This window comes from Homo sapiens, chromosome 6 (genome assembly GCF_000001405.40).
Source record: "Homo sapiens chromosome 6, GRCh38.p14 Primary Assembly".
Lineage (NCBI taxonomy): Eukaryota > Metazoa > Chordata > Mammalia > Primates > Hominidae > Homo > Homo sapiens.
In genome coordinates, this window is record NC_000006.12 from 64432469 (window position 1) to 64453861 (window position 21393).

General features: G+C 35.5%; 1 protein-coding gene across 2 annotated transcripts in view, besides 1 other annotated feature; it reads right to left on the minus strand.

Moving 5' to 3' along the window:
- The window catches only part of EYS (eyes shut homolog), a 1987247-nt gene that overhangs the window by 712489 nt on the left and 1253365 nt on the right, over window positions 1-21393 (minus strand). For both annotated transcript variants that reach the window (NM_001142800.2, NM_001292009.2), the window contains exons 27-28: window positions 6694-6884; window positions 3706-3797 (exon numbers count right to left, since the gene is read on the minus strand). In NM_001142800.2, coding sequence (NP_001136272.1) covers window positions 3706-3797; window positions 6694-6884 — 283 coding nt within the window. The remainder of the gene's footprint in view (window positions 1-3705; window positions 3798-6693; window positions 6885-21393) is intronic.
- Window positions 15892-16391: an enhancer, noted in NCBI's record as "H3K4me1 hESC enhancer chr6:65158253-65158752 (GRCh37/hg19 assembly coordinates)". NCBI's record gives its function as "activates a minimal SCP1, AML or CMV promoter by ChIP-STARR-seq in primed H9 embryonic stem cells {active_cell/tissue: H9 hESC(primed)}" and the evidence as "EXISTENCE:reporter gene assay evidence [ECO:0000049][PMID:30033119]".

The following is a 21393-nucleotide window of genomic DNA, read 5'->3' on the forward strand; positions in this document are numbered from 1 at the left end:
GCCCATAATACACTTGTTATTAAAGGCAAACTCAATTATTATGTTAATATAATTATGTTTTAGTATATAATTATAATGTAATATATATTATAGTGTAATATATGCAATGATTATAAGTAGTATATAGTATATTAAAAACTTAATACAATACACATGCATAATTATAACTATACCAACAGACATGAATAAAATATAACATCAGACTCTCATATTTGTGCTTTACAGAAAATACATGTGCCACTATCTTCAGCTTCTCAGCAGCACCTTCTACCTTAATGTTCTACCTGGTGGTGTTCAATAGTGGAGTGACAAATGCTCACCCATTTGCATTTTGCTTCATGACATACTCTATGCTATTTTTCTGCCTTCTAACTTTACTGCTTTGTCCCATTTTGACTGTCCCTTTCATTAAAATATGAGCACCAGCTATAGTTAATTTCTCACTAAAATAATTTTTAGTATGTGTGCTTTTAGTATCTTTATTATGCCAAACTGTATTTCACCTGATTTTAAGCACTCCATATTTTCCTTCCTGCTTTTGTTATTTTAAGCAATCACACATTTCTTTTTCAAAAGGACCATCCTGCTCTGCAGAACAGCTTGTCTTTCCTTGTTCTCAAAAATAATGAGCCAGGTTACTTTTTCACAGAGCATATTTGTTTCGCTTTTTCTGAGATAGATCATCATGGGCCTAGCACAATTTTGCTGTCCTTTTTCTTCCCAGTTCTATAAGGGTACGTAAGGCAAGACCTTTCTCCTATATTCATATTCAAGAAGAAAGCCATATTTCAACAATAACAAAATAAAAGAGGGTAAAACTGGGGGTGAATTGTGTGCACACCATTTACTTTTATTAGAAGAATATGTAAATGGTCAAAAAATTTTAGCTGCAACATTCATGAATTGTGTTCAACTCATAATTCGTGTTTTTGACTTTTTTTCCCCAGGACTATATTTTAAAGATACTGAAAAATAAAATTAATGGAGCTTCACTTTTGTACTTTATAGATGATAATCATGGACAAAATATATTTCTATAAATTTTTTATTACTTCAAACAAACCAAAAACCTGAGAAGAAATATTTCTGAGTTTAGATTATTTAGATCAGATATAGACAGGGTATCAACTAATTTTTGATAAAAATAAGAAGCAATGGTGTATGTAAATTGAAACAAAATTATAGTCATATAACTTAAAAGAAAGTGATTTTTTGGTTAAGTATTCTTAAAAGTGACATTTTGTAATAAAGATAGTGAAAAATATGTATTCTTGGGATTTAAAAAATCTTAAACATCTAATGTTTCTTTTAAAGAAGACTAGTGTTTTGTTACTTTAAAAATACAGACTGTCCATGTTTAGTAAAAACAATGATCAGGTCAAGGGGCAGGAGATCTGGGTTCTAATCTTGCTCCCTTACTGACTAGCAATGTGATAGAGAAAGTTGTCCAGCTTCTATGAGTCTCAGCTTTCAAATATGCAAAATGACTGCTATGGGTTGAATTGTGTTTCACTCAAAATTCATATGTTGATGCCCTAGCCATCAGTACCTGAGAATGTGACTATATTTGGAAATAGGGTCTTCAGAGAAGTAATAAGCTAAAATGAGGTCATTATGGTAGGCTTTAATCCAATGTGTCTGGTGATCTTATTACAAGAGGAAATTAGGAGATAGACACATACAAAGGGTAGATGATATGAAGACACAGAGAGAATACAGCCATCTACAAGCAAAAGGAGACCTCAAAAGAAATCAAACCTGTTGTCATTTTGATCTCAGAATTGTGAGACTAAATTGCAATTGTGAGATTAAATTGCCTGTAGAATAGTGAGAAAATTAATTTCTGTTGTTTGAGCCACCTTGTCTGCCACTTTGTTATGGCAGCCCAGCATCCTAGTAAAATAGGCATTATAAGTTTTACGATGATTAGATGTAGTTATGTGTGTGTAAAGCATATGGTACATGTTAATTGTTTAGTGTGTGTTAATTAATATTGTTGTTTCTTCTGCTAGTATTTTTACTGGACACATCATTTATAACTCTTATCTTTACCTGATCTTGAACATACAGCAGTTCTTTCCTGGTGGGGGAAAACAGGAATTCAATTCATATTACATTTCTCTAGCATGGTTCATGGGGCCTGTAGCTTCAAACTTACAGATTTTGGAGTGAAAGCAGCCTTGAGATTGTGTCATTTTCTAGTTATGTCATTATCTGTACTTAATCTCCCTGTCTCTCAGTTTTGCATCTGAAAAGTATAGATAATTATAATTGTTTATAGGAATACATTCATATATGTAATACAATTAGTACTTGATATAAATTCCTGTTGAAGAAACTATAATTATGATTTTTTAAAAATGTATTTTTTTACTCTTTTTCAGCCATGCCTGAGGCCAGAACAGCTTCTGTGGGTTTTCCCTCTGTCTCTTCATGATACCAATCTGTCATTCTGCTTTATTCAGGAGCCCATCTATGTCCTTCATGATTTGATTCTTACTGCCACCCAAGGCTCATGCACTTGCTTCCCTACAGATGATGGTCATCCCTGCCCAGGGAAATTATTACCTCGACTGAGATGGCATTTTCCAAAGTGTACTGCCCCCAGCATTTGTTATTTAGGAGATTAAAATGATGAGAAAGATATTAAATGTGTGTCTGTGTCATGGCACTTTTAAGTATAGTGACACTAAGCATTAAGAAAAAAAAGAAAAAAGATGATTTATTAAATAGCATCTCAGAGTTCTTAAAATGTTCATGTTCATTTTGAGTATTCTGGGTGGGGAGTAGATATGATGTAGGCTTTCCTCAATTTATTTGATGATACATTATTTTTTGGTCAATCATTTGTAAGAATCTGTATTCTAGATAATAGAATTTGGGTAGTTCTGGCCTAAGGAAGATAGAACTTCCTTAAAACCTCTCATTTAACTTTTTTCCCAGTCTCTGTTTAGGACTTCTTCTTCTTCCTTTTTTTTTTTTTTTCCTTTTTATTGGCTTTAAACAGATGTTTCCTTTTACTAAATAATCTATTGCCAGAAAATAATTTAATCTACATACCAGCTTATGGCTGTGGTATGTGTTTTCAGCATCACTCAAAGAAATAAAAAAGGTGGAGGGAGGTAAGGCACATAACAAAAAAGCATTACATCTATATTAAAAATTAAAATTTACTAAAAATCAAATGAGAAAAAGGAAAAGTTTACTTATCAGATTGGCAAACTGATTTATTTCAGATGTTCATGAGCATTTGGGGATAGGGTCACCTTAAAACATAGCTTTTGAAAATATTAATAATATACCTTAATTACTCAATCTGGATTGTGGTGGGCCATTTTAATTTCCTTCTTTATGCTTTTCTGGAAGTGCCACATTTTCTACACTGAATATAATTTACTTTGTTCATCAAAAGAAATTACCAGTTTAGTTGATTTGTTACAACAGCCATATGAGAAAAATATGAGGCTTTTATGGATCTTTTGTAAATCTCCTTATGTGAGTTCATTGATAATGTAATCCCTATAATATTCTTTTCTCAGTACATTTTTTAGAATATATAGAAAAGCTTGACAAACATTAATTCATACACATGCACATGTTAATACTAATCAGTATAACCTCAATTTTGAAATGACAAGTACAATATTGTTAGGGATAGCCTTTGCTACTTAATGAGATTAACTGGAAAAGAAATAATTATCTTACCTGATAAGCAGTGTATACTTTTGCCCGTTGTCCACTCTAACAGTAGTATTAATGCTTTTAAATTTTGCTTCACCAGGACAGTAAAAGTGGTACTGTTGGGGGAAAAAATTTTGTCCTCAAACAGTTTTTCAGCATGAAATTAATACCATATATTTGCACTGGACTTTATTATTTATCAATATATTTTACATCACTTTGGAGAGACATGAAGTTTGAAACTTAAAGAGAAGTGATAACTGAAGGTTTACAACTGATATGTCCTAGATTTAATACATACAAATATATGAGTATTATATAGATATAAATACACATGCATACATGTGTACACATACATGTCTAGATTCTTTTCCAGTATTCTGAGGAACATGGTTGAGAAAAGCAACATCCTCTACTAGCAGAAAGCAAGTATTTTAGGAATTTTCCTTACATAACAGCAATTGAGCAAGGCAAAGAATGGTTAATACAATCTAGAGGGCAATATTAATGTCACAGGAAGGCAAACTTCAAGATTGTGAAAACTAACCATTCATTCCAAGTTTTTTGAGATGTCAGGGTGTCTGGGTTCATTTGTAGAATTACTGTTAATGGCAACTAAGTTATGATCTAGAGAGGAAAAATCATGTCTATATCAGGTATGATTAACCAAGTATCCCCAGGAAATACATGGATGTGCTACATTGGCTTATTAAGCTTCTTAGCAAGCATGTGCCTACAGGTATATGGATTATATTGTGTCTATTCTTTCCCAGAGAGGGGCTTTAATATTTTTATTGTATCTAAAAGTGATCTATAACCCACATGTGTTAAGAAACTCACTTGCATTGTGTTTCATAACTTGTGCCCCTAGCTGTATTTAAGTTGATATACCCAAATCCTCTCACATATAGTCCAAAGATAAAGATAATGCTATATATTTTAACTTTTTATGATATTTGGGCCATTGCAAAAGACTCCTTTCCTTTATAAGATTATTTATTGTCAGTTGACTTTAAAAACTCCAATAAGAAGCATTAGGAGGAATTATTGGAGACTTGTAGGATTGTAGGTGAAAATATTTTATGAAATAATGTATTATTAAGACTAATGGATAGCCACTACTTTCCCTATCAAATGGGAAAAAAATTAATTCACAATAGGTTAAACGAAGATATTTAGGAACCATAAAACTAACTAGTGAATAGAGGTATAGAATTTCTTTCCCTTTGGTTTTATGAAAAAGAAAGGATATATACTTACAAGTCTACAATAATTACTATTATTTACTTAATTGTAATAATTTGTCAATCTCCATCTTAAGAAAATTTAAGATCATTTACATTTCAGCTAGATGATCAGAGTTCAAAACTCAGCTCTGTTACTTGGAAGTTTTGAGACTTCACATGTGCTTTGTGCTAAAATCTACTCACTTGTAAAATGGGGTAATACAAATTTTTGTGTGATTTAAATTGGTAAATGAATGAATATTGTGAAGTAAATATTATAAATGGGCAAATAAGTCAATCAAAGTGGAACACACAGAATTATACCTGGGACATAATTATATATGAAGGCTATGAAGGCTAGCTTTTTTTTCCTTTTTTTTTTGGCTCTATCTCCCAGGCAGGAGTGCCATGGTGCTATATATATATACATATTATATTACTTCAGAAACATGAGCATTTAAAGAAAGTCAAACTAAGGGAATTTGCCTATTTAAATAATAAGGTATAACTCATCCTTTCATGGAAATTCACAACATGTACACTTAAATCACATCATAAAAGAAATGGTAGCCCAAATGCTGTTATTATGTTTCATATATTAGAATTATATAAGTTAATTACCTTATTGTGCTGAGTTATTGCAATGATGATTGGGATGAGTTCCCTAAACCAGGTATTCAGAGCAGGGATATGAGAAAATTTGTTAAGGTAGAATGATGTTGGGAAAAGAGCATGCACTTTCAAATGAAGTTGGTTTCAAAATGTTATTAGCTGCATAACCTTGGACTTTTGAAAGGTTCTTATAACACTTACCAAGTGCAAAGTCAGCAATCTCAAACTTTTTGATCTCACAGTCTCTTTGCATTCTTAACGTTTATTGAGAACCCCAAGGAGTTTTTGTTAACTCAGTTGTGTCTATCAATATTTACATTGCTAAAAATTACAACACACATTTTTAAAATACAAAAATACATAATAAAATGATACATTAGCGATTAGAGCAAGGATATAATTGCATGTCATGTAGCCTCTGGAAAACTCTACTATACACTTATGAGAGTAAAAGTGAATAAGGCAAATAACACCCCTTGCCTACAGAAAACTTACAAAAACAGGTTTTCTCTTGAGGATCCTCTAAAAATATCTTGGGATTCCCTAGGGTTTCCCAGACTCTACCTGCCCTTAAGGTTATAAAAATGGTAACAATTATTATCATTGAGAAATTAAGAAATTGGGAAACTGGTCAATAAAGAAGTAGAAGAAAAGTTGAAAATAAGGAGAAAAAAAGACAATGAATGTTAATTCAAATCATGTACCGTTTGAAATATTAATATCTAAATATATATAAACTGATCTATCAGTATGAATGTAAATTTTTCTCCGTATAGTATATGAGCTTCTTAAGAACACTCTCTTGTCTTCTGAATGATATTCTAATTAGGTATATTTTCCAGAAAAAATAGAGACCTTTTGAGCAAAATACTCTGACAATTATATTTTTTAAATTTATAAATATGTGATTAATGAAATCCAGTTAGCTTATTTTTTGAATAAGTTGTTAACCACTTTATATTATTATTAAATCAGTTTTTTTGCTTAAAAATACTTGGTTGTTGTTGGTTCATATATACATAGAAAGAAATTATAAAAGTAGAGGAAGAGACATCCTGGTGGTGAGTATAATATATAGAGTTAAGTTTAAATTTTATTTTGAAAATAACCAATGAAGCACATAATTAGAACAACTTTGTAATTTTTAAAAAATTAAATGAACTGAATAACTTACCTTTAAAGTACCATTTTCAATAAACAATTGAATAAAAAATCCATCTACTAAATTTGAGTCTTGCTTGACATACAGCAGAAGTCCATAGGAGCTGAAGGTCTGAAATTCTAGGGAGATGTTATTTTGTGGATTTAAAGCCACATTCTGAAATTCTAGATAAGAATCTCCATAATAACGAACACAACTGAAATCTGTGGAGTCAGAAAGAAAATACAATTTAGGTTGAAATAAATATTCAATACCTAGGTTTCACATTATTAACATAGCATATGTTTTCTCTAATGACTCATACGTCTCTTTCCTGCCTCTTTCAAGCCCAGGCACTTCTTTCCTTTGGAATAGTCATGGCAGTTTTCTCATGATTTCTTTGTATTTGATGGCTTCATGATAAAATCTCATTGTAAGGCAAGGAAATCAAGATGATTACTCTTCAACACTGCTTTTACTTAGATTTTATGTTACAGGTTAACAGAAAAGGGCACATTTTCTAAATATGTACTTATTTCTTCTTTATATAAGATATTGATACAAATTATGATTAATATTGTTAATAATTTAATTTGGGAGGTTTGTGAGGGAATGCTAGAGATTATTGAGAGGCATAGAAATTGTTAACCTTTTGTATTAACACTCTAAATTATATGAGTTTCTTAACAACTCTCACCTTCTGAATGATATTCTAATTAGCTGTAGATTTTCAGAAAAAAATGAAGACACTTTGAGCAAAATACTCCACAGTTAAATTTCTTAAATTTGTAAATATGTGATTAATAAAACCAAGTTAGCTTATTTTTGAATAAGTTGTTAACTACTTTATATTATTATTAAATCATTTTTTTTTGCTTGATAAATACTGGATTGATTGTTCTTGGCTAATGATTCCTGAAACAATGGATTTGAATATCGCCTTTCTTCCAGTTCCTTTCTTCTTTTGTTATTTTCATGACGTCCCCAACACAAGCTTTCTTTCTCTTTTAAAACTTTCGAATTATGTATTATTTATAACTACTAGAAAATATTATTTATAAAACCATGTGAGTTTTAGTTTGCTGTCTATCACAGGATAATATTCATTTTCGAATCTGTACTTTAAAACTTCAAGAAATTTTATATCCTATGTGTGCTGTCTTTATTTGGAATTTTTAATGATGCTTTAGAATTACTCATTTTGCTACATTTTCAAACTTGCAACAATTTCTAAATAAATAACCAGCAAGCCTCAAATTAATTTTTTTCACTGGAAATAAGGTTCAAAATAGTGCCAGGAAGCATTTGCACTTTATAGACATAAAAGCATGAGTATATGTGTGTGTGTTTGTGTGTGTGTTTAATCAAGGACTGACTTCATTAGTGAAGGACAAGTTAATGACTGAAAAAATAACAATGTCCTTTCAATTTTGACATTCTAATTTTTTCAGTTGTTAAATGATAGGGACGTATTTTTTTTCCCCATGTAGCGTTTCAATGGTGATGTTAAAAGCATAATACAATAACATTTTAAACAACAAGAAATTGTTTTAAAGATTTCAGGCATTTATTTTAACAAATTGAGAATAAAGTCATGTATCAGTTTGATTTAAAATTCAAATTGTGAAAGAGCATAAAATGTTTTCAAAAACAAACATTACAAGAAGAATATACCCAATATTGATGAAATTAAAAAAAATTACATACAGGGGGTCTTCAAAAAGTTCACATAAAATATGTATTATTTAAAAACTATGGATGAATTTCACTCATCATGACATGTCTGAACAGAATATATTTGAGTTACTAAGAAGGATAAGACATCTGTTTGAAAACAGCCCCTATCGGAACATGAATTCTGCTAAAATTGAAGCAAGAACAAATATCAAATTTACGATGACGCTTGGGTGAAAGAATGGTAAAATCATTGATGCTTTACAAAGAAATTATGTGGACAATGCCCCAAAGAAATTCACAGTTTACAAGTGAAAAACTTGTTTTAAGAAGGGACAAGACTACGTTGAAGATGAAGTCCTTAGTGACTGACCATCCATATCAATTTTCAAGGGAAAAATTAATCATATTCATGTCCTAACTGAAGAGGACCAATAATTAACAATAAAAACAATAGCCAACACTATTGACATCTCAGCTGGTTCAGGTTACACAACTCTGAATGAAAAATTAAAGTTGAGCAAACTTTCCACTCAGGGGATGTCAAAACTGTTGTGCCCAGATCAGCTGTAGACAAGAACAGAGCTTTCAATTGCAATTTTAAACAAACAAGAACAAGATCTTGAAGTATATCTTTGAAGAGTTGTAACAGGAGATGATACATGGCTCCACTAGTATGATATTGAACACAAAGCACAATCAAAGGAATGGCTATCAAGAGGTGGAAGTGGTCTAGTCGGAGCAAAAGTGGACCAGTTAAGATCAAACATCATTGATATCGTTTGGCTCTGTGTCCCCACCCAAATCTCATTTTGTAGCTCCCACAATTCCCATGTGTTGTGGGAGGGACCCAGTGGGATATGACTGAATGTTTTTCCTGTGCTGTTCTTGCAATAGTGAATGGGTCTCATGAGATCTGATGATTTTAAAAACAAGAGTTGCCCTGCACAAGCTATCTCTGCCTGCTGCCATCCATGTAAGAGGTGACTTGCTCCTCCTTGCCTTCCACCATGATTATGAGGCCTCTCCAGCCATGTGGAACTGTAAGTCCAATAAACCTCTTTCTTTTGTAAATCACCCAGTCTCAGGTATGTTTTTATCAGCAGCATGAAAACAGATTAATGCAGTAAATTGGTACCAGTAGAGTGGGCACTGCTGAAAAGATACCTGAAAATGTGGAATTGACTTTGGAACTGGGCAACAGGCAGAGGTTGGAACAGTTTGGAGGGCTCAGAAGAAGACAGGAAAATGTGGGAAAGTTTGGAATTCCCTAGAGACTTGTTGAATGGCTTTGACCAAAATGCTGATAATGATATGGACAATGAAATCCAGGCTAAGGTGGTCTAAGACAGAGATTAGGAACTTGTTGGGAAATGGAGCAAAGGTGACCCTTGTTATGTTTTAGAAAAGAGACTGGAGGTATTTTGCCCCTGCCCCAGAGAATTGTAGAACTTTGCACTTGAGGAACATGATTTAGGATATCTGGCAGAAAAAATTTCTAAGCAGCAAAACATTCAAGAGGTGACTTGGGTGCTGTTAAAGGCATTCAGTTTTATAAGTGAAGCAGAGCATAAAAGTTCAGAAAATTTGCACCCTGACAATGCGATAGAAAAGAAAATCCCATTTTCTGAGGAGAAATTAAAGCCTGCTGCTGATATTTGCATAAGTAATGAGAAGCCAAATGTTAATCCCCCAAGATAATGGGGAAAATATCTCCAAGGCATGTCAGAGGTCTTCATGGCAGCCCCTCTCATTACAGGCCTGGAGGCCTAGAAGGAAAATGTGATTTTGTGGGCCAGGCTAAGGGTATTTCCGCTGTGTGCAGTCTAGGGATTTGATGTCCTATGTTCCAGCTGTTCCAGCCATGACTAAAAGGGGCCAAGGTACAGCTTGAGCCATTGCTTCAGAGGGTGGAAGCCCCAAGCCTTGGAAGCTTCCATGTGGTGTTGAGCCTGCAGGTGCACAGAAGTCAAGAATTGAGATTTGGGAACCTCTGCCTAGATTTCAGAAGATATATGGAAACATCTGGATGCCCAGGCAGGAGTTTGCTATAGGGGCAATGTCCTCATGGAGAACTTCTGCCACGGCAGTGCAGAAGGGAAATGTTGGGTGGGAGCCCTGACACAGAGTCCCTACTGGGGCACTGCCTAGTGGAGTTGTGAGAAGAGGACCACCATTCTCCAGAACTCAGAATGGTAGATCCACTGACGGCTTGCACTGTGCACCTGGAAAAGCCACAGACACTCAACGCCAGCCCACGAAGGCAGCCAGGAGAGAAGCTGTACCCTGCAAAGCCACAGTTGTGGAGGTGCCCAAGACAATGGGAACCCACTTCTTGCATCAGTGTGACTTGGATGTAAGACATGGAGTCAAAGGAGATCATTTTGGAGCTTTAAAATTTGACTGCCCTGCTGGATTTTGGACTTGCATGGGACCTGTAGCTACTTGGTTTTGGCCAAGTTTTCCCATTTGGAATGGATGTCTTTACCCAATGCCTGTAGCCCCTATTGTATCTAGGAAGCAATTAACTTGCTTTTGCTTTTACAGGCTCATAGTGGGGAGGGACTTGCCTTGTCTCAGATGAGTCTTTGGACTGTGGACTTTTGAGTTAATGCTCAAATGAGTTGAGACTTTGGGGAACTATTGGGAAGGCACAATTGGTTTTGAAATGTGAAGATATGAGTTTTGGGAAGGGCCAGGTGTGAAATGATAAGATTTGGCTCTGTGTCCTCACCCAAATCTCATCTTGTAGCCCATAATTCTCACATGTTGTAGGAGGAACCTGGTGAGAGATGATTGAATCATGGGGACAGGTCTTTCCTGTGCTGTTCTTGTGATTATGAATGGTTCTTCCAAGATCTGATAGTTTTAAAAACAAGAGTTTCTCTCTTTGCCTGCTGCCATCTCTCTTTTTCTCAGCACAATCTCTCTCTTTGCCTGCTGCCATCTATGTAATATGTGACTTGCTCCTTGTCTTTGGCCATGATTGTGAGGCCTCCCCAGCCATGTGGAACTGTAAGTCCAATAAAACTCTTTCTTTTGTAAACTGCCCAGTCTCAGTTATGACCTCATCAGCAGCATGAAAATGGACTAATAGAGTCATTAAAAAAGATTTCTGGGGGATGCTCAAGACATTTTTCTTTTTGACTTTCTGGAGGGCCAAAGAAGGATAACATGTCCCTATTATTACAGTGTTTTAAGAAAGTTAGTCAAAGCTTTAGCAGAAACATGCCCATGAAAGCTTCACCAGAGAGTACTATTCCACCATGACAATGCTCCTGCTTATTCCTCTCATGAAATTAGGGGTAATTTCTGAGATTATCAATAGAAAATCATTAGGCATCCACCTTATAGTTCTGATTTGCCTCTTTCTGACTTCTTTTTGTTTTCTAATCTTTATTTTTCTTCAGTTAATAATGTAAAAAGGCTGCATTGACATGGGTAAGGTCCCAGGACACTCATTTCCTTAGAGATGGACTAAATGGTTGGTATCATTGCTTGTAAAAGTGTGTTGACCTTGATGAGGTTTATGTTGAGAAATAAAGCTAATTTTTAAAATTTTTATCTAATACCATTTTTCACAACATTTCGAAGTCTTTTCATATTATTTTATAGCTTTTAGAAAGAAATATACTGCCTGACAATAAAAAACTCAAAAACTCCTTAATATTATTAAGATATGTATTTTATAGACTAAATTTTAAAAAATTCAGTGGCTTTTTCATTATGTGACTAATTATCTGTATGGAAACCCATATATGCATTCAATTGTAAAGTACTTGAGAGTATGCTGGATTTATCATTCTATTCCAAGAACCTAGCATGATACATGATTCTGTCAAGCATCTGAAAGCACATACTATAGCTTGGATGTTTGTCCCCTCCAAATCCCATGTGGAAATGTAATCCCCAATGTTGAAGTTGGAGCCAAGTGGAAGGTGTTTGGATCACTAGGGCTGATCATTCATGAATGGCTTGGTGCCATCTTCACAGTAATGAGTGAGTTCTCACTCTGAGTTCACATGATATATGGCTGTTTAAAAGAGTGTGGTACTTCCTTTCTCTCTCGTTTCCTCTCTTGCCATGTGAAACCCTGCCTCCCACTTCACCTCCACCATGATTTCTGAGGGCCTCACCAGAAGCTGAGGAGATGTTGGTGCTATGCTGGTACAGCCTGCTGAACCATGAACCAATTAAACCTCTTTCTTTTATAAATTACCCAGCCTCAGGTATCTCTTGATAGCAATACAAAACAGACTAACACACTATCTAATAGAAAATATAATTGCTTTTGTTTAAATGTGCTTGGAAAATTATAGTTAAATATAGATTTTAAAAAGTCAGGACGATATTTTGCACACAGTTTTCAATCATATTTGTGGTGTTTTCTATTTAAATATATAAGTACAGATTTTATTTTATGCTTCCCTCAGCAAAAATTTTAAACAGATGAGAATAATGATTATAGCAAGCACAGAATAGCTTTGTGAAGAAAACATAAATACTGAGATTATTTTCAGTAATAATGGGCTAAAGTAAAATAATAATTCTATACATTTTTATTGTCTAGAATTAAATAATAAACTTCTGCACTTAAGTTTTTACCTTCCTAAATAGAAGAAACTTTATCTGAATTGTATGGATTCATATTATGATTATACCTATAATTTTGTATGCTTTTGGTACAAATAACCAGAAATTCTAATTCCAAATAGTTTCAGCAATAAAGAAATGAAATAGGTTAAATAAAAGGAAGTTCAAGAATAGGGTGGGTTTTCAGATGGATGTATGTTTATGGAAAAGCTTAACTGACTTCTCATAAAATACCTAGATTACTCCTGTCTCTCCACTCTGATATTCACAGGCTGAGTTTTAATATGAGACTTGCTTTTCACATGATTCCAATGTGATGGCTAGTCACTCCGTTTCCAAAACTGTTCTTCTGTAATAGGAGGAAGAAATAACTTTCTCAAGTTAAGGAGAACCTTTCCTAGAAGTTAACTGGCTAGAACTGGGTGACCAATGAAGCCCTCTGTTGGAGATGAGGACGGGCTCAGCTCCCACTGAGAGCTATGGACCAGGGTTCATAATGGGCAAAACTGGTATTCTGTTAGGAGGAAAACCTCAACATCTAATTCCAGTATTTCTCCACATTCATGAATTATTTCCTGAATTATATCTGATTGTCAGATTAAAGACTTAAGATACACAATCACATGTCCAAGCTAAAGATATTAACTTTCATCTTCAACTTCCTCCCTGTTTCTCTTTATATGCAGTAGCTCTTGCCTTTATTTCTAGAAACTCATATGGAGTTTAAGGATGAGTCTAGCCATTTAAAAATTTACTTGAAACATGGTTGTTGCTAGGTGGGTGGTTGCTAGTTGCCAGCTTTTATTTTTCACATGTAATTATTTAAGTTTTCAGTACATACTAATAGCCACTCCCCTTGCATGAGAATAACGAAAACTTAAAAGCTGTGTAAGAGAAAAATCAGGAATCAATGAACCTTCCCTCTCTACTGCAACAGAGTTTTTTTAATAGACTAGAAATATAATAGAATACATGTATTTTAGAAGAAATGAATAATAGAAACTCTGAAGTATATGTGTGTATATATAGAAAATACACCAAATGAGTATAATATTTCTCTCAGATTAATTATGAATATTTACTCCAACACCACATATTACTTTTAATAAAACAAATATATATTTTTGAAAGTGTAAAGGAATCTTAGCTTGGGGCATTTTTCATTTTTTTTTGTTTTGTTTTGGTTAGCAGATCATAAAATTCTATATCAATTTTTAAAAATCAAGTATTTTTTATAGTTAGTGTTTCTATATACAAGATTAAATGTGAAAGTTGGAATATTATGAGAGAATAATTGAATACTAGGATTTTCTATAAAATTGATAGTTTGATAATTACTCTGTAGTGATCAGGTAGCTTAAGTAAAGATATATATAATTTGGTCCCATATCTGGTAGTTATTACCAATATAGTATAATCCATGAATAACTGCCCAAAGAAATAATTATGTATTGCTCTCCACAGTATATATCATTAGATAAATGTTAGGAAATATTTTGCAACCAAAATGTAAAATGATCCCTTTCTCCAGGTTTCTTGAAAGCAATATCTAAGAAACAATAATGGAAATGTATAATGTATGTGTGTGTGTGGGGGGGGGGTGCTCATGTACATTTGCAACTTTTTCTGTTAAGTGAAGTATTAATTTGAGAAAAAATTTTATGTATGACACTTAAATATAATTAATATTGAAAGATTTACTATGCTGTTTATTAAGAAACCTGTATCACATCTTGATTCTTGATTTTAACAGTAAGCAGATCAGCAACTGTGTATTACCCACAGATACTGTCTAAAACTTGTGTCTCTTTGTGTTATTTCTCTAAAGAAGAGCTTGAATTTTATCATTACAAAATCTCTGCATATTTAATACTTTAAATTTCTGTGTTCTACAAATTGTGTCTAATTCACCTTAAAATCCAACTTTACATAATCCATTTTAGCTCATCCCAATTAGCTTAATACCCACTAATAGAGCAGGATAAAGTAGGAAAATTAGCATTTATTTACTTAGTATATGATAGGTTTTATTAGAAGCTTTACATATGCTTCTTGAAATTCTGATTTTTTTTTTCCTGGCAATGTAAAGATTTATATTATATGAAAATGTTTCAAAATAAGTTATGAAATATATTTGTTTCTTTAATAGGTTCCCACAAATTCATTAGTACCTTGATCAAAAGTCACTAATTTATATAAAGCATATTTTAAAGCAAGTATTAATCATAAAATGCCAAAAAAAGTTTACAAAACAATCAATAATACTGAAATTAAAAGCTAGACTACAGAGTTTAAGATTTGCAGAGACTCCTCAATGTGGCTAAAGGAAATATATAAGTAGTGGCAGATTATATGAAAATAGATTATTGCAAGGGAATGTCCAGGAGGACTAGTCAAGTAGTTGAATAACTTTTTTTACTGAAAGCAATCAATGATCTTTTTGAAGGGAAGCAAAACATCTATAATCATAATATTTCTCTTCACCATGAAATGGAGATTGATTAGGGAAAAAATTATTTAATAGCAATCCGTAAGGATAGAAAGTAACTTTCTAAAATAAAAATCAAATCATGCCACTTCCCTGATTAAAAACATAAGTGCCGGACAGTGGGTGCAGGACAGTGGGTGCAGTGCACCGTGCGTGAGCCTAAGCAGGGCGAGGCATTACCTCATCTGGGAAGCGCAGGGGGTCAGGGAATTCCCTTTCCTAGTCAAAGAAAGGGGTGACAGATGGCACCTGGAAAATCGGGTAACTCCCACCCTAATACTGTGCTTTTCCAATGGGCTTATCAAACGGCACACCAGGAGATTATATCCCGCAGGTGGCTCTGAAGGTCCTATGCCCACGGAGCCTTGCTGATTGCTAGCACAGCAGTCTGAGATCAAACTGCAAGGTGGCAGTGAGCCTGGGGGAGGGGCGCCAGCCATTGCTTGGGCTTGAGTAGGTAAACAAAGTGGCCTGGAAGCTGGAAATGGGTGGAGCCCACCACAGCTCAAGGAGGCCTGCCTGCCTCTGTAGGCTCCACCTCTGGGGGCAGGGCACAGACAAACAAAAGACAGCAATAACCTCTGCAGACTTAAATGTCCCTGTCCGATAGCTTTGAAGAGAGTAGTGGTTCTCCCAGTATGCAGCTTGAGATCTGAGAACCAGCAGACTGCCTCCTCAAGTGGGTCCCTGACCCCCAAGTAGCCTAACTGGGAGGCACCCCCCAGTAGGGGCGGACTGACATCTCACACAGCCGGGTACTCCTCTGAGACAAAACTTCCAGAGGAACGATCAGGCAGCAGCATTTGCGGTTCACCAATATCCGCTGTTCTGCATCCTCCACTGCTGATACTCAGGCAAACAGGGTCTGGAGTGGACCTCCAGTAAACTCCAACAGACCTGCAGCTGAGGGTCCTCACTGTTAGAAGGAAAACTAACAAACAGAAAGGACATCCACACCAAAAACCCATCTGTATGTCACCATCATCAAAGACCAGAGGTAGATAAAACCACAAAGATGGGGAAAAAACAGAGCAGAAAAATGGGAAACTCTAAAAATCAGAGAGCATCTCCTCCTCCAAAGGAACGCAGCTCCTCACCAGCAATGGAACAAAGCTGGACGGAGAATGACTTTGATGAGTTGAGAGAGGAAGGCTTCAGAAGATCAAACTACTCTGAGCTAAAGAAGGAAGTTCAAACCAATGGCAAAGAAGATAAAAACTTTAAAAAAAAATTAGACGAATGGATAACTAGAATAACCAATGCAGAGAAGTCTTTAAAGGACTTCATGGAGCTGAAAACCATGGCACGAGAACTACGTGATGAATGCACAAGCCTCAGTAACCAATGCAATCAACTGGAAGAAAGGGTATCAGCGATGGAAGACGAAATGAATGAAATGAAGTGTGAAGAAAAGGTTAGAGAAAAAAAAATACAAAGAAATGAACAAAGCCTCCAAGACATATGGGACTACGTGAAAAGACCAACTCTACGTCTCATTGGTGTACCTGAAAGTGACGAGGAGAATGGAACCAAGTTGGAAAACACTCTGCAGGATATTACCCAGGAGAACTTCCCCAATCTAGCAAGGCAGGCCAACATTCAAATTCAGGAAATACAGAGAATGCCACAAAGATACTCCTCGAGAAGAGCAACTCCAAGACACATAATTGTCAGATTCACCAAAGTTGAAATGAAGGAAAAAATATTAAGGGTAACCAGAGAGAAAGGTTGGGTTACCTACAAAGGGAAGCCCATCAGACTAACAGCTGATCTCTCCACAGAAACTCTACAAGCCAGAAGAGAGTGGGGGCCAATACTCAACATTCTTAAAGAAAAGAATTTTCAACCCAGAATTTCATATCCAGCCAAACTAAGCTTCATAAGTGAAGGAGAAATAAAATACTTTACAGACAAGCAAATGCTGAGGGATTTTGTCACCACCAGACCTGCCCTAAAAGAGCTCCTGAAGGAAGCACTAAACATGGAAAGGAACAACCGGTACCAGCCACTGCAGAAACATGCCAAATTGTAAAGACCGTCAAGGCTAGGAAGAAACTGCACCAACTAACGAGCAAAATAAGCAGCTAACATCATAATGACAGGATCAAATTCACACATAACAATACTAACCTTAAATGTAAATGGGATAAATGCTCCAATTAAAAGGCACAACCTGGCAAATTGGATAAAGAGTCAAGACCCATCAGTGTGCTGTATTCAGGAAACCCATCTCGCATGCAGAGACACACATAGGCTCAAAATAAAGGGATGGAAGAAGATCTACCAAGCAAACAGAAGACAAAAAAAAGGCAGGGGTTGCAATCCTAGTCTCTGATAAAACAGACTTTAAACCAACAAAGATCAAAAGAGACAAAGAAGGCCATTACATAATGGTAAAGGGATCAATTCAACAAGAAGAACTAACTATCCTAAATATATATGCACCCAATACAGGAGCACCCAGATTCGTAAAGCAAGTCCTTAGTTACCTACAAAGAGACTTAGACTCCCACACAATAATAATGGGAGACTTTAACACCCCACTGTCAACATTAGACAGATCAACGAGACAGAAAGTTGATGAGGATATCCAGGAATTGAACTCAGCTCTGCACCAAGTAGACCTAATAGACATTTACAGAACTCTCCACCCCAAATCAACAGAATATACATTCTTTCAGCACCACACCACACCTATTCCAAAATTGACCACATACTTGGAAGTAAAGCACCCCTCAGCAAATGTAAAAGAACAGAAATGATAACAAACTCTCTCTCAGACCACAGTGCAATCAAACTAGAACTCAGGATTAAGAAACTCACTCAAAACCACTCAACTACATGGAAACTGAACAACCTGCTCCTGAATGACTACTGGGTACATAATGAAATGAAGGCAGAAATAAAGATGTTCTTTGAAAGCAACGAGAACAAAGACACAACATATCAGAATCTCAGGGACACATTCAAAGCAGTGTATAGAGGGAAATTTATAGCACTAAACGCCCACAAGAGAAAGCAGGAAAGATCTAAAATTGAGACCCTAACATCAAAATTAAAAGAACTGGAGAAGCAAGAGCAAACACATTCAAAAGCTAGCAGAAGGCAAGAAATAACTAAGATCGAGCAGAACTGAAGGAAATAGAGACACAAAAAACCCTTCAAAAAAGCAGTGAATCCAGGAGCTGGTTTTTTTGAAAAGATCAACAAAATTGATAGACTGCTAGCAAGACTAATAAGGAAGAAAAGAGAGAAGAATCAAATAGATGCAATAAAAAAATGACAAAGGGGATATCACCACTGATCCCACAGAAATACAAACTACCATCAGAGAATACTATAAACACCTCTATGCAAATAAACTAGAAAATCTAGAAGAAATGGATAAATTCCATGACACACACACTCTCCCAAGACTAAACCAGGAAGAAGTTGAATCTCTGAATAGACCAATAACAGGCTGTGAAATTCAGGCAATAATTAATAGCTTACCAACCAAAAAAAGTGCAGGACCAGATGGATTCACAGCCGAATTCTACCAGAGGTACAAGGAGGAGCTGGTACCATTCCTTCTGAAACTATTCCAATCAATAGAAAAAGAGGGAATCCTCCCTAACTCATTTTATGAGGCCAGCATCAACCTGATACCAAAGCCTGGCAAAGACACAACAAAAAAAGAGAATTTTAGACCAATATCCTTGACGAACATTGATGCAAAAATCCTCAATAAAATACTGGCAAACCGAATCCAGCAACACATCAAAAAGCTTATCCACCATGATCAAGCGGGCTTCATCCCCGGGATGCAAGGCTGGTTCAACATACGAAAATCAATAAACGTAATCCAGCATATAAACAGAACCAACGACAAAAACCACATGATTATCTCAATAGATGCAGAAAAGGCTTTTGACAAAATTGAACAACCTTCATGCTAAAAACTCTCAATAAATTAGGTATTGATGGGACGTATCTCAAAATAATAAGAGCTATCTATGACAAACCCACAGCCAATATCATACTGAATGGACAAAAACTGGAAGCATTCCCTTTGAAATGTGGCACAAGACAGGGATGCCCTCTCTCACCACTCTTATTCAACATAGTGTTGGAAGTTCTGGCCAGGGCAATCAGGCAGGAGAAGGAAATAAAGGGCATTCAATTAGGAAAAGAGGAAGTCAAATTGTCCCTGTTTGCAGACAACATGATTATATATCTAGAAAACCCCTCGTCTCAGCCCAAAATCTCCTTAAGCTGATAAGCAACTTCAGCAAAGTCTCAGGATACAAAATCAATGTGCAAAAATCACAAGCATTCTTATACACCAATAACAGACAAACAGAGAGCCAAATCATGAGTGAACTCCCATTCACAATTGCTTCAAAGAGAATAAAATACCTAGGAATCCAACTTACAAGGGATGTGAAGGACCTCTTCAAGGAGAACTACAAACCACTGCTCAATTAAATAAAAGAGGACAGAAACAAATGGAAGAACATTCCATGCTCATGGGTAGGAAGAATCAATATCGTGAAAATGGCTATACTGCCCCAGGTAATTTACAGATTCAATGTCATCTCTATCAAGCTACCAATGGCTTTCTTCACAGAATTGGAAAAAACTACTTTCAAGTTCATATGGAACCAAAAAAGAGCCCGCATTGCCAAGTCAATCCTAAGCCAAAAGAACAAAGCTGGAGGCATCACACTACCTGACTTCAAACTATACTACAAGGCTACAGTAACCAAAACAGCATGGTACTGGTACCAAAACAGAGATACAGACCAATGGAACAGAATAGAGCCCTCAGAAATAATGCCGCATATCTACAACCATCTGATCTTTGACAAATCTGACAAAAACAAGCAATGGGGAAACGATCCCCTATTTAATAAATGGTGCTGGGAAAACTGGCTAGCCATATGTAGAAAGCTGAAACTGGATCCCTTCCTTATACCTTATACAAAAATTAATTCAAGATGGATTAAAGACTTAAATGTTAGACCTGAAACCATAAAAACCCTATAAGAAAACCTAGGCAATACCATTCAGGACATAGGCATGGGCAAGGACTTCATGTCTAAAACACCAAAAGCAATGGCAACAAAAGCCAAAGTTGACAAATGGGATCTAATTAAACTAAAGAGCTTCTGCACAGCAAAAGAAACCACCATCAGAGTGAACAGGCAACCTACAGAATGGGAGAAAATTTTTGCAACCTCATCTGACAAAGGGCTAATATCCAGAATCTGCAATGAACTCCAACAAATTTACAAGAAAAAAACAAACAACCCCATCAAAAAGTGGACGAAGGATATGAACAGACACTTCTCAAGAGAAGACATTTATGCAGCCAAAATACACATGAAAAAATGCTTATCATCACTGGCCATCAGAGAAATGCAAATCAAAACCACAATGAGATACCATCTCACACCAGTTAGAATGGCGATCATTAAAAAGTCAGGAAAGAACAGGTGCTGGAGAGGATGTGGAGAAATAGGAATGCTTTTACACTGTTGGTGGGACTGTAAACTAGTTCAACCATTGTGGAAGTCAGTGTGGCGATTCCTCAGGGATCTAGAACTGGAAATACCATTTGACCCTGCCATCCCATTACTGGGTATCTACCCAAAGGATTATAAATCATGCTGCTATAAAGACACATGCACATGTATGTTTACTGCGGCACTATTCACAATAGCAAAGACTTGGAACCAACCCAAATGTCCAACAATGATAGACTGGATTAAGAAAATGTGTCACATTTACACCATGGGATACTATGCAGCCATAAAAAATGATGAGCTCATGTCCTTTGTAGGAACATGGATGAAGCTGGAAACCATCATTCTCAGCACACTATCACAAGGAGAAAAAACCAAACACCGCATGTTCTCACTCGTAGGTGGGAATTGAACAATGAGAACACATGGACACAGGAAGGGGAACATCACACACCGGGGACTGTTGTGGCG